Here is a 14,502-nt window from a genome sequence, read left to right on the forward strand (position 1 = left end):
AGGCACATGATTTATTTTCTGTTGGTTGCCTTTCCCATTCTAACCTGTTATTTAAATAAATTCAGTACTCAGCCTAAAATTCATTCTTGGTGATAGATGCTCTGCCACACTCCAGAAGAAACCAATTAATTTTGAATATATAAATGAGTAGTCAGTACAGGGGGAAAAAAAAAACAAAAAACAAAACAAGACTGATGTGGCTTATTTGGGCTTTTTCTATTTTCCAAAAATTATTCTGATGATAACATGTTTAAAAGGTAGGATCTGAAAACCCAGAAAAAGCAATGTTGCGTGTCTAAAAACAAAAAACCCAAACCCTGAACTACAGAGTAAGCTGATAAATCTGATTCTCACTTAGTGTCTCAGGTGGATAAATTAATAATTTCATAAAAAATGTATGAGACCATCAGGGACATTTGAATTACAACAAAGCCCGACAGAACAAAGCTAAGGAAAATGGGAAGCATTTATGAGAAGACATTGAAGTTACTCAAGTGTGTTGTTTTTCGGGCTCAGCTTGTAGGGGTCACTGGGGTAGTGGGTCCTATTGCTGTTCTCTACAGATTGAAATTGGCTGCCGTGGGCAAAGGTCACCCCACGGTATCAATTACTTGCTGCTACCTGGAAATTTTAATTTCATGCCCTGCAGTAGATCTGCTTTCTTCTCTAGTATGAATGGCAACTGTCTCCGATTGGTGACAAGAATAACTCATTTCCTCAGGGTCATTACACTCTAGAAACTTCTCCATTCAGAAAGTCGATTGCAGATTGCTGGCACAACCAGATCTGCTGCACAAATATGCTGAGTGAATAGACTAGAAACTGTTTCCTCTCTTAACCTTTTTTAAGATATGGTTTTGGTTTCTCCTTTGTAGTGGGGTCAGTCTAAACTCTGAAGAACTGATATTTAGGTCAACATAGACTTTCTCTGTGGAATTCCTCAAAGAAAAAGATGACTAGAGATGTTAGCAAACATAAAAAGTCAGTATTTTTAAACAGTAGGGAATCTGGTTGAAGGAAAATTTGTAGTGGGCTTATTTTTGCCTGGAAATACTGTTAAGGGTATATTAATAATCTCTTCCTTGCCTAAATTGTAGCCTTTGGAAAGATGAGGTGAAACCTATTTTGACAATGAGATTAATATTGCACTAGGAAGCTGATAGAAATATTTAGAACAAAAAGAACAAACCCTTTCCATTTGGTCTGCTCCATTATTGGCCTGGCTTTGAGTTAGAATAATGAGAATCAAAACTGCCAGAAATACATGTTAGTAAGTGACCAAAGGAAACACTGTTAAAACACCTCATTTTTGTTACTTTTGTTCCCTTGGCCTTGGTTCTAATTTCAGAATGTTCCTAACAGTTTCATCAGCATTGCAAAAGAAAGAATAAACTTATAGCTCAATTAAATAGCAATGGACATTCCAGAGTATCTAAAATTTTTAAATAAGCAGAAATGATAAATTTGAGTTATTAAATGATGTTTCTTCCAGAACCTGTGTTTGAGGATGTTTGCACACACACACAACATACATAACACCCTAACTATGTAGTTGTGCTTGCCCGTAATAGTAAGTGGGAAACACAAAATAGAACTCACATGGAATTTCTTCCTCTGCAAATCACCAATCACCTTGCCCATTCTCATGAATACAATCAAATCTGTCCAGGCCATAAAGGCATGTAAAGGCAAGAGAGAATCTCCGCATTTTAGGTGTTGGGCATCTCATTATGTAAGGAAATGAACGATGGGGGAAGTGAGGGAAGATTATGAGGTGGGTGAGAATTGCTTCCTCTCTGGCCATTAGTTTTCAGAACAATGGCCCAACTGAGAAGGGCTGTTGTCAGAGGGAGCAGCAAATATTACCTGCTGAGGGTCAGGGGTCTTCAAGTTATTCCATCCTTTTTGATACAAAAGGCCATGCTTTACGCCTCCTTCTCCCCATGTTACGAAATAAATGAACTAATTATGTGTTGCTTTAGACTAATTAACCACTATTATGGCCTATTTAAATGATTTTTTAAATGCAAGTAAAAAAATGCAAAACAAAACCAAGTTGTAAAAGGCCTTTAAGAAAATGAAGAGAGATAAAAATGTTGAATCTTGGTTCTTTAGACCTACACATAGAAAAAGAAAGTAAAAGGTTTTCTAGTGCAGCTCTCTCATTATGCAAAATGAGAAAATGGGATTCAAAAAGCAAAATGACCTGCTCCAGGTCACACAGCTTCTTAGAGCCAGACATTTTATGAAAAATCCTTGTTTCTTAAATCTGGGGCAATTTGAGCTCAAAATAAGTGATCATAGTATACTCTAACCAGGTGAATAAAATAAAACTCTCGATTCCATACCATACTGATATAAGCAGATAAACAAATTGGTAAGAAGGAAAAGCCCTTCTTTAACTTGAATGCCAATTAATAGAGAAAAAAATGATAGATTTATGAAACTATCAGTGGATACTAAAACTGGAGAATTAAAGTTTTAATGAGAAATAGGATATCTGCATAGTCTAAAAGGTGACAAGGGTAGCAGCAAGTTTCCTGCTGGCATCCCAGACAGTCATCCCACTGTACCACAGGCTCTGTGCCACATGTCAGGGAGTCCTCTAGGCATGGTTACTCCTGTTTCTATAGGGCCTGTAGGGCCTTTGCTCCATGATGCTAACGGAGCTTTCCAATTAATATCCTCTTTTGAGTCAGAAAGATGTGTTGACTGCATGCCCTCCCTGATGGGTCTTAATTCCTGCCAGATAAATAGACATACTTTGTTTGAATAGACCAGTATTCTAGCTTCCCAGGGCCCTTTACTGAACTTCACTACTGCTGGAGGCATGTGGAAGGCAAGAGTACAGTCTATATAGAAATGTCATATGGCCTAAAGAGTTTAAGAAAAGCTATTCTTGGGAGATGTACTGTTCTACATTCATGCTACAAAATTCCAAATGGCAAAATTAACATGACCAGAAAATGAACTGTCGTTCACATTTTTCTGCATACTCTGGGTAAGACTTGCATTTGTGATCATCATTAATGATGCCCAGTAACAACATTTGAGAGTGTCGCCAAAAGCCAGTATTTACAAACTGCTTGATGAATGATGCAGTGTCATGGAGAAAGAGGTAACCGATATTAAATCAACACCTCTAGGGAACTGCAGAGGCAAGCAGATCTACATTGTTTCAATACAAACAGGTTCCAAAGTCACAGCACTGTCAGTAATAACAGCAGTGCTACCTCTTTCTTGTGGTGGCAGACATGAAATTAGCCAGAAACAGTGCATTTGACAATAAAGAACATAAAAAGATAGTTTAGTTCCTGGACTTGAGCAGGATGAGATGGTATCTGGATACTCTCAAGAATCTTCACCTGCACTTATTGAATGATAAGCAAATGCGTAAGGGCCTCTTTTCTACTTTTTTCCAAATCTCCATTAATAAATCACAGCATATCACATGAACCTATGAATGCTTAAAAATATGTTAAAATCAAATTGTTTATACAGATAGGTGCTCTGTGCAGTCTAGTGGAAGGGTGGAATGGGGGAGCTGGCTGTGGTGATATCTTACTTTGATAATGATAGCTTAAGAAGGGTTACAAAATGAATTCTTGAGAATTTGTAGTACCTCTCTGGGCCTTGGGTTTCTCACATAGCTGATGTATATAGCTAGAAGGCTAATTTATTATTTTCCACTTAGAAATATCATTGTCAAGCCCAAGCCTGCATACAGATTGGCTGGCCAAAGCACTCTTTCCTTATAGACAAGGGCCAGGGAAGCAAAGTTATGGGATCAGAAATAGGGGAGTTTATTCTACAATGGGAATGTTTAATGTCATCCTCAGGAATTGGCAGCCAGATGTGTGTAAACACATTGGGATTCTAGCTTGGCCTTCAAAGGACATCTTCTCTCCCAAGCAGTGCTAAATGGGGCAGCACTAGCCTTCGATCTGAGATCATCAAGCATGGCGGACAGCTATCCTTCTCCCGGCCTGAGTGTCCCTTGTGTATCTACATTAACATTTTCAAATTGACTGCCTTGCAGGGCAAGATCTGAGTCATGTGGACATTGTGTATTTCCATTTGAATTCTTATATCTGATCCTTTCTCTCACCAGGGGCAAGATCTTACAAATTCTTCATTTCCAAGTTCTTGGGAGTGGCTCATGGCTGTCTTGCCAATGAGGGTTCACTTGTGCTACAAAGGATGTGAGTCTGTTAAAGCCTAAGTTATTGTCTGTTATGTCTTTATTAGAGAAAGAATGAGAGGAACTGAAGTTTGTGTCTCAGCTTGGAAAGTCAGTTTCCCCTGATCACCAGTCATCTCCCTGATTTTCATCCCTCCCAGCCAGGTAGGCAGATCCTGCCTCACATGCTGTATTAAGGGCACATTCCTTTAGGATAACATTTATTTTTCATTATGCTTATTTTACAATTCTACCTCCTCTAAATCATGAGTTCATGAGAGTAGGGACCATGTTTTACTAACCTTGGATTTCCCAGAGCCCATATAGTGTTGCAGCCAAGGTCCTGATCTCTGGAATCAGACTGTCTAATGTGGGATCCCTGCTCCTGTGTTTCTTCCAACTTCTCTCAGCCTGTTTTCTCACCTGTAAAACGGGGGATATTAATAGTAACTGCCTTGTAGGTTGTTGAGAAGGGTTGGAGATGTCGTATGTAAGATGTTTAGCACAGTAGCTGCCATTTGACACACATTAAATATTAGTATTTAGTTAGTAGTAGTTGGTGCATGAGACACAGTTACTCAAAGAAATGGGTACTGAGGCCGGGTGTTCATGCCTGTAATCCTAGCACTTTGGGAGCCCAAGGTGGGTGGATCACCTGAGGTCAGGAGTTCGAGACGAACCTGGCCAAGATGGCAAAACCCCGTCTCTACTAAAAATACAAAAAATTAGCTGGTGGCAGCCACCTCTAATCCCAGCTACTCGGGAGGCTGAGGCAGGAGAATTGCTTGAACCCGGGAGTTGGAGGTTGCAGTGAGCCAAGACCACGCCATTGCACTCCAGCCTGGGTGACAGAGCAAGACTGTCTCAAAAAAAGAAATGGGTACTGAGTAAATGGATGAGATGGATGAGAGATGCAGCCAAGCCTGTGAATGGAAGTCACAACTAGAGCTCCAAAACCACAAAATGGGTCCCTATCATAGCCCATTGTCACTGAAAGGCATTTAATAAATGTGGTTGCAGTAGGAGGAGAAATTCTGGTGACTACAACAGATAGGTAAGTCAATCTCCAGGCTTCCTGAGGTTTTCAGCATCTCAATTTTTGCTCAAAGGGACCTTTCCTGGGAAGTCTCATGGAGAAGACTCAGCTCCATTGCATTACAGAATTAATGTGTGAGGAAGGGATATTGTGGAATTCAACCCATCTCACTTCAGGAAAGATTTAGGCGCAGAGTGTTAAGGATGATATTCTTCCGAGGTTTCCCTGCCATCCCTATGAAAAAGTTAGGCGACAGTTGATTGGAGGCAGGACTAGAGGCATACAGTGAGGTGTGTCTTCAACGTAAGGCCAAAGGCTAGCTGCCACATTTTAAGGCCCTTTTCAGGGGGAAGGTTCTTAAAAGGGCTGCCTCAGCACACAGGCACTGGCATATGTCACCGTGGCAGGTAGACACATATTAAAACAAACCTCACAAACACAATTCAAAACACACCGAGTCTGTAAGGACTGGTTCCTTACATGAGCTCATGAGTTCATCCCCTTGTCAAGAAGAATCGACTCTCTAGGTAGAAGGCAAAACACTTGATCCTCTCCAGAAGGCCACGAGAATTTAACTTCTTTCCCTTTCAGAACTGATAAGATCTCACATCACCACGTCAGTCTGGCTCACAGGAGGAGTGAGACCTGGCTCTGCTAAGAAGCTGGTAGTTGTTAGTGGGAGCTTGAGACCCACAAACAAAGGGATTTTCAACTACCTGGCTGTACTTACATTTGGTTTTACTTCAGGCTTTCACACTCCATGCTTACCTCACTGACTTGTTATGTAGACCAAATGAGATGTGTGTAACAGTGGGTTTAAACACAACATCTCTACGCAGATATGATCTTTTCCCATTGTTAAGGGCACTGTTAACACAATGCCCTCAAAGAGCTTTTGGTTTGAATCCATTTATAATCTGTATATTCATAAGCTTTGAGTGTGTGTGTGATTCTGATAAATAGAGTCAGCTTGGGTGAGAGCTCTTTCCCAAGGGAGAGCGCAGAATGGAATAGGGCACTAGAGGCAGGAGCTTGGAGCTACCTGTGTAACTCAGATCTCCCCAGTCCTTCCAAGCCTAAGGGTACATAAACAGTAGTTTACTCCAATTCCACCACCTCTTGTTCCCACTTGTCCAGGAAGGGCTCTGTTAAGTGCTCCTTCAATATTTTGGTCTGTGTCAATGGGTGTTACCACTCTGCCACCTCCTACTGGGCACCTTCATTTTCCCCTGCCAGGTCACGCCCTCTACCCCACAAGCATGCTTAGTGGCACCGCATATTGTCTTGTGCTTCATTCTGTGTCCCACTGGGTTGGAGTGCTCTCACAGCAGGACTGCCTGAGTCCCTTTATTTTCCAGAGTTGAGGAGAAAAACTTCTTCATTTTTATTTCCTGGTCACATTGTTCTCCCACACTGAGTCCAGTAGGGCCTCCACTAGGAGCAATGCTCAGGGCTGTGCCTAGAATTGTTCTTCCCTCTTGACGGCTAGGACTTTTCTTCAGCTGCCACGGGCTGTACCTGGCTTCTTTTCTCAGAAGGCTTCTCCTTCTCTCAGGCAACTCCTTCTACCTCTCAAGGGCTGTGCTACCCTGTCCCACTCATTTTTTCAGATATCCTAGGGCATCTGTGGAGACTTTACTTCCTTCTTCCCTTGCCCCACTGCCCCAGCCTTTCCTAATATTCATTCATTCCACAGACTTCTTTGAAGAATATTTGAACTATATGAAATATTTTTCAAGCTGTCAAATAAAATTGTGTTTTAACTCCAAGCAGTGCTGAAAACATCCCACAACTTAAAACCCTGTAACCCTAGAAGAAATTGCCTTATGGAAGATGGAGGGACGTGGTTCAGTGATAATTTTATCACCTAAATTTCAGTTTTAAGAGATGATTTAAACCTGAACACTGAGACATATTTAAAGGGTTTTATTAAAAATATTTACTTAAAAATTATACCTTAGTGGAACTTTTCCTCCCCTCTCTTCATCCTCCCTTCCCTAGTTCTCTGGAGGTAAGTTCTGGGTGGAATTGGAGGTCTACAGAAGTTGGACTGGAGTGTGGTTCTGGTGTTTGCTCGAGATAGTTGGGTGGGATGGGGAAGGAGATGAGCCCTCTATGCCTCTCTCTCTAACTTCCTCTATTCTCCAGCCCCTTAGCCTCTCTAGCTCTGTAGTGTAGCCTTAACCTATTCTGCCTGCAACATAGCTTCACTCAGTGTATAGTGGATGGAAAGATCCAGAAAGGGGAGAAAGAGGGCACCCAAGACAAATTTCCTTTATTATGAAAGTTTTTCCACATTTTCTCCTCTAATCAGAGAGCAGATTACAAATTGACCCCATAGCCCCTTGTGCTGCTTGAAGAGTCTGACCTGAGAATGAGAAGGAAGGGCGGGCAAAGTCATGCCTCCCTGTCGCAGTCAATCCTTTCTTTTGCAATTCTCTCCTCCCCTCCCCTCTGGTCATCCCTCCATTTCAACATTTGTAGGTCCCTGAAGCAACTTATAGCAGTGCGAATCAACACCTTCCAGGAGAGTCCTTGGTCTTTGTGGCTTACTGAAATCAGAATACCAGAATTCCTGTGCCCAGGCACAGGTAAGTGGAGATGGAAGTTATTGTGGGAATTAAGAGGTCATTTTTGGCCTCAGGTGCTTTCAGAGAGAGGTCTGGAGGAGCTGCTGTAGGTTACATTGGAAAAGGATGGCGTGAGGGACCTGCGTCTTGAGAAGTCTTTTATGAGCCTCCCAATTCTGGGTTAGGTGTCTCTCCTACCTGCCTCCACAGGGCTTCCTTCTTAGCTTTAGTACTTATCCCCCTGTTGGCTCTTGTATGACTCTTGCATGACATAGTAAGCATCCCAAGCAGTACAGTATCCCCAGCCCTCGGTCCTAGCTCAATATAGGTTGCTTGTCACCCAGCCTATAATCCCAGCACTTTGGGATGCGCCAAGGTGGACAGGCTGCTTAAGCTCATGAGCTTAAGACCAGCCTGGGAAATATAGTGAGACCTTGTCTCCACAAAAAAAAAAAAATTTTTTTTTTTTTTGAGGCAGAGTCTCGCTCTGTCGCCCAGGCTGGAGTGCAGTGGCACAATCTTGACTCACTGCAAGCTCTGCCTCCTGGGTTCACGCCATTCTCCTGCCTCATCCTCCCGAGTAGCTGGGATTAGAGGCACCTGCCACCTCGCCCAGATAATTTTTTGTATTTTTAGTAGAGACGGGGTTTCACAGTGTTAGCCAGGATGGTCTTGATCTCCTGACCTCGTGATCTGCCCACCTCAGCCTCCCAAAGTGCTGGGATTACAGGTGTGAGCCACCGTGCATGGCCAAAAAAATTTTTTAAACTAGCAGGGTGTGGTGGCACATGCCTGTAGTCCCAGCTACTTGGAAGGCTGAGGCATGAGGATCACTGGAGCCCAGAAGGCAGAGGCTGTAGAGAGCCGAGATCGTGCCACTGCACTCCAGCCTGGGCAACAGAACAAGACCTAGTCTAAAAACTTTGCTTGTCTATGAATGAAGTGGGCTGCCAGATTGGAAAGGTCACAGGACTCAGGCTTAAAGACCTACAGATTTTTTGCTCTATCGTTTACTAACAGGGCTGAGCACTTAGTCTCTCTAACCCTCAGTTTTTTTCAGTAGCAGAATGGGTTCAATTTATCTAATTCTACTAATAGGATCATGGAGAATGAGATTAACAGATGTAAAAGGGCTTTATAGACTGTATGTTGCTAGTCACATGTAAGATATTATCCAGATAAAGCTTGAGCAAAGAAAGTATGATTTTGGCCATTTTATATAAAGCAAGTGTCTTAGTCTGTTATAACAAAATGCCACAGACCATGTGGCTTAAAAACAATATTTATTACTTACAGTTCTGGAGTGGAGTGGCTTCATAGAGCAGCCTAAATAACAATCTGTATCTCTTGCTTTCACTAACACTAATTCTGTTTTTTGTCTCTGATTTTTTTTTTTTTTAAATGAAACTCTAAGGTGATTCCATTCTTCACAGAATTTGCACTGGTTCCAGCCAAATGTCCCAGACACCTTTTCTACTTGGGGCATTTTCAATCATGCAGATGGTGTAAATTCAAACCTCAAAACCAAAGAATGACAAGCACAAGGCTGCAAATTTTCCAGAAAGTCCTTTTTTCACCACTCAAAATTCATATAGAGTCATTCATGTTTTCCTGTCATCTCCCTTTTTCAATACACCATTTTCCCCTTTAATCTGTGCTTTGACTTCAAAAGTCCCAGGTTTTGACAGATCTCAGTTTCACCTCCCCACCTGGCACAGACCCTGTCTCCTGCATAGTTGTTAAAACCCAAGGGCACCCAAATCATACGACACCCTCAGGACAGACTGGCCTCAACACCTGCTTCCCACTCAGGTTTCTATTTCCCTTTCCATCTTCGGTGCCTTGGGATTTCCCCAACTTTCTTGTTTGTTGCATTTTCCCTAGCATTTCCAAATATTTTGTAGTAGGAATGTTTTTCAGAATAGGTAGTCTGCCGTATCAGTAGAAACTGAACCCCCTACCGATATTTTTACACAAGTAATGTCTAATAACAATTAACATGAGAAGCGGAAAAGAAAAAAAGAGTCTGCCACCAGAACAAGTAGTAGCCCTGCTCTTCAAACCAAAAGTAAATTACGTATAACTACTAGGTTTTTTTTATGAGTTCAAGGGATGGAGCATCTAAAATAAGAAATGGTCCAAGACATCCATGGATATAGGGATGATAGCATCACTGCCAGGGTTGGCTCATGACCCCTGGCCAATGAGAAAGTGTCTCCAGAGGCCAGCAGGAGAGTCTGCTTCTGCCTGCTCCCAGCCCTGCCTCCCTGACCTGCTCCCCATCATCCAGTTTCCAAAGAGGAGAACCCTGAATTCCTTGCCCTGGGGAAGAGCTCTGCCATAGCTTTGAGTGACTCAAAGGACAGGCTCTGCAAAACATAAGTATAGGTTGAAATGCTAAGTTTTTCTGCCACTGTTTTCTTGAAACAGCTCAAGAAAGGACTCAGAGAAATTGGCTCTTGCTACAGGACACACAAATTGAATACTTGAGTCAATCATCCAGTGATTTGTCACAATGCTGAACAAACACCAGAGCCTTTGCTAAACATAAGGAGACAGAGAATGTTCTTGATAGAATCACATCCATTTGTCGATCCCAGGTATATTCCTAAACAAGATGATGGTCTAACTTTGGGGGGCTTGGTGGCAATGTGGAGGTGTGGATGGTGAGGAATGGGAGCCACTCTTGCTTATTGTCCTCCCTGATCTTCAGGCCAATGACTGAGGTGTGCCTACCCTCCCTTCATCCTGCACTTAGTCATACATGAAGCTTGCTTGTCTCAGTAGATCCCATTGGATTTTCATCTTTGTTATTAAATCAGGGCCACATTTGACATGCTTATTTTATAACGACCATCTTATGACATGTAGGTCCTTTGGCTGAGGGAGAAGTGCCTCCACAAATTTAATTACCCTCAGGTGAGCAGCACTGGGTGCTTGTCACATCAGAACACCCCAACAATTGGGAACAAATCTGTATTTATCCTAGAGACGAGACACTTTGAGCCTCAAAGGATAATACTCTCAGAGTTTACTTTCTCCCCTTATTCCCTTTTGGGCTACCAAGGTTTTTAGTCACTGCTGAAGCTATTTTGTATTTTAAATCCACAGTCCTTTCATTTTAAAACTGCAAGGTTTTTTATCGTGTCTCACCCCTACATTCAAGGCCCAGAAGGGCCTGGTGCTGTACCCAGAATCACATTGCTCACCTGGGGCAGAGTCTCCAATTCCTAGAGCAGTTTCAGTCCCCCATGTCCTCAGCGTTTCCCAGAAGATAGTAATGGATGACATGAATCTGGCAAACAGCTGGGAATTACTGCCCTCCAAAGTGGTGGAAGGAGTGGCTCTGAGGGCCTGTCTTGGCCGACGTAGATTTGGTATCAATACCTGCTGAGTACAGAGGCCAAACAGACTGCACCTGGGCTCTGCCTGTAACTCTCCAACCTAACTCATGCCACGCCTGGTGAGGAGTTAAAGAAACAAATCCTTGTTTTTTATTTTCTTCATAGGATCAAATCGCTCAGGGTACTTGTAAGGAGTGGACCATTATTTTACAGGTGTGTAATGCTTCCACCTCTTGCATCCTTCCCTCTTCCAAAGGCTGTCATAGCAACAAGGCCCATCTCTGCAGGTGTCAGGAGACCTTCACATTAACTTTCCTTGGACAAGTAACATCAGAACAAATTCTCCTTTGAACTTAGGTCAGAGAAATCTCTAAACCTCATGGAAAGTATGAAATGCAAACCAACTGTATGAATTAGTCTTTGAGCCCATTATGATACTGGGAACTTATTCTTTTTTAAGAATTTCAAATTATTTCAGTTTTTTTAAATTTTGTTTTTGAGATAGGGTCTTACTATGTTGCTCACACTGACCTGGAACTCCTGGACTCAAGCAATCCTTCCACCTCAGCCTCTTGAGTAGCTGGGATTACAGGTGTATGCCACTACACCCAGCTAAAATTATTTTGTTTCTAATTGACACATAATAATTGTAACTATTTATGGGATACAGTGTGATGCTTCAATACATACATACATTGTGTAATGATCAAATCATAGTATTTAGCATATCCATCACCTCAAACATTTATCAATTCTTTGTGCTGAGAACATTTGGAATTCTCTCTTCTAGCTATTTTAAAATATACAGTATATTATTGTTACTACAGTCACCCATCTGTGCTACAGAACACCAGAATTTATTTCTCCTATCTAACCGTAATTTTGTACTTGATCAATCTCTTCCCGTCGTCCCCTCCCTACTACCCTCCCAAGCTCTGGTAACCACTATTCTAGTCTGTATTTCTATGAGATCAAATTTTTAAGATTCCATGAATGGCATTTTATGGTATTTGTCTTTCTGTGCCTGTGCCTGACTTCTTTCATTTAACATAATGAGGTTCATCCATGTTGCTGCAAAAGACAGGATTTCATTATTTTTATGGCTAAATAGTATTCCATACTATAGATAGACCACATATTTTTATCCATCCATCTGTTGATGGATGCTGAGGTTGATTCCATATCTTGGCTATTGTAAATAGTGCTGCAATAAACTTGGGAGTGCAGATGTCTCTTTGACATGTTGATTTCCTTTCCTTTGGATAAATATCCAATAGTAGGATCACTGGATTATATGGTAGCTATATTATAATTTTTTTTTTAGGACCCTCCATAGTTTTCCATAATGACTATACTAATTAACATTGCCATCAACAGGGTATTAAGAGGAACTCCTCTTTTTTTTGTTTTGAGATGAAGTCTTGTTCTGTCACCCAGGCTGGAGTGCGGTGGCTTGATCTCAGCTCACTACAACCTCCACCTCCCAGGTTCAAGAGATTCCTGTGCCTCAGCCTCCTGAGTAGCTGTGATTACAAGCAAGTGCCACCATACCTGGCTAATTTTTGTATTTTTAGTAGAGATGGGGTTTCACCATGTTAGCCAGGCTGGTCTCAAACTCCTGGCCTCAAGTGATCTGCCTACCTCAGCCTCCCAAAGTGCTGGAATTACAGGCATGAAACACTATGTCTGGCCATCTTTCTTTATCTTTCTCTGGAAAGAGGAAATTCTCAATTTTAGAGAAAGCTCTGTTGTGAATATTTGGCAGTTTTGCCTTTCCAGCCACTGAACTACACCTCCAGGCCACCCCAAGGTATGTTGAAGGTAAGGCTTGCCTCAAATGGTTCCTCTCTCACTAACCTGGCCCCTGGCAAGTGAGGTTGGATGCCAATGCCCTGGATTTTTAAACTTGAAGCAGGTGATACAGGGAACTATGGGATACTTAAAGGTGAATTCTGGCAGTACCAGCAACATCTTAATATTGCTTACTGGTGGGGATTTCAGGGGCAGCTGCAGCGCCATCCAGACCCTTCTGTGGCATGACCTTGGCTGTGTTTCCAGCACCTGGACTCCGTTGGCACCTGGACATCGCCCAATCTTAGTTCTCCATGCACATTCTTGGTTTTGCAAGTTATTCCGTCTCCTTCCAATAACTTCCTTTTCTGCTTAAATTAACTAGAAATAGTTTCTGTTGTTTGCAACCATGGATCCTGACTAGCCCTGCCTCCTTAAAGTTGTTTCAATGGATGAGTGACTATTTAACAAGTGAGCTATGCTCATGGCATCTTATTAAAAGGGACTGAAAGTAGGAGAGCTTCTTGATTGAAGCTTGAAGGACTTTCACTTCTCCAGCTGCTGGCAGTGGGGAACAGGAAAGGAGGTCATTGAAAGCCAGTAGGAGGTGGTGGTCTATGTTAAATCACCCATGTGACTTTGCTACAGCTCCCACACCCTCAGCTTAAAACCAGGTACTGACAGGCATCCTGTGGATTTATTTTTCCAGCTCTGCCCTACCTGTTTTTCTGGCTCTCCTTTCCAGCCCAAAGTCAGGCCCCACAGCTGGATGAAATAAAATGGTTATATTGGGAGGCCTTAAAATTAGCATGGTTCAATATGTCTTAAAGTTGGGGCCATTCCCTGGGTAAAGAATGGAGGTTTTCTCACTTTCTCTGCTGCAGCTGCTGGGGATAAAAGTCAGGAGCTCTCTGCTCCAAGGGCTCTCCCAACCAGGTCCGACTCTCTCCCCACTACTTTCCAAATTCATTCGCTGCTACATTCACCATGTACCACAGCGAAAGACAACCCCACTCCATCAATGGCACATTATCATGTGGCTTTCCATTTTTCCTAATCACCTTATTCCTTTGCTCTTCCAAAGTTGAGGATAAATTATTTAACAAGTCTCTAGGGTTGACTTTTATGAGAACTTAAAGCCAGTGCCCATCTGCTATAGGTTAGGGTGAGCCAAATGCTGAAAGTTAATCCTTCTTGTTCCACTCTGGAAAATACCCAGCCATGCACACACACACGTGTGCACACGTGAGCAGTCACAGACCCCCACACCCTACAACAGCACCTCCCAAACCACATGGCCCAAGTAGTAAAACATCAAGGCTTGAATCACCATACTCAGGCCAATAAAAACTTAACTTTGCACTCTCATATAGTTGAGCTTGTGCTTGCAAAATTCCCTGCATGTGCCTGGCTCTGTGATTGAAACACTGTCATGCATTTCAGACAAGGGAATAGGTAATATTTAAACATTAATATACATCTATGCCTTTCTGACACATGCATTGAATGTGTGGAGTATCAGAGATGAAAAGTATACAATATACACACACATCATATTGTATAATTGTATAATTTATTAAT

General features: G+C 42.2%; 1 long non-coding RNA gene across 1 annotated transcript in view; it reads right to left on the bottom strand.

The window, feature by feature from the left end:
* Nucleotides 1–14,502, bottom strand: part of LINC02122 (long intergenic non-protein coding RNA 2122) — a 68,866-nt gene that overhangs the window by 45,302 nt on the left and 9,062 nt on the right. The window contains exon 2 of the long non-coding RNA NR_183289.1: nucleotides 4,483–4,603. This is a non-coding gene — a long non-coding RNA (long intergenic non-protein coding RNA 2122). The remainder of the gene's footprint in view (nucleotides 1–4,482; nucleotides 4,604–14,502) is intronic.

This window comes from Homo sapiens, chromosome 5 (genome assembly GCF_000001405.40).
Source record: "Homo sapiens chromosome 5, GRCh38.p14 Primary Assembly".
In the NCBI taxonomy this organism is placed as follows: Eukaryota; Metazoa; Chordata; class Mammalia; order Primates; family Hominidae; genus Homo; species Homo sapiens.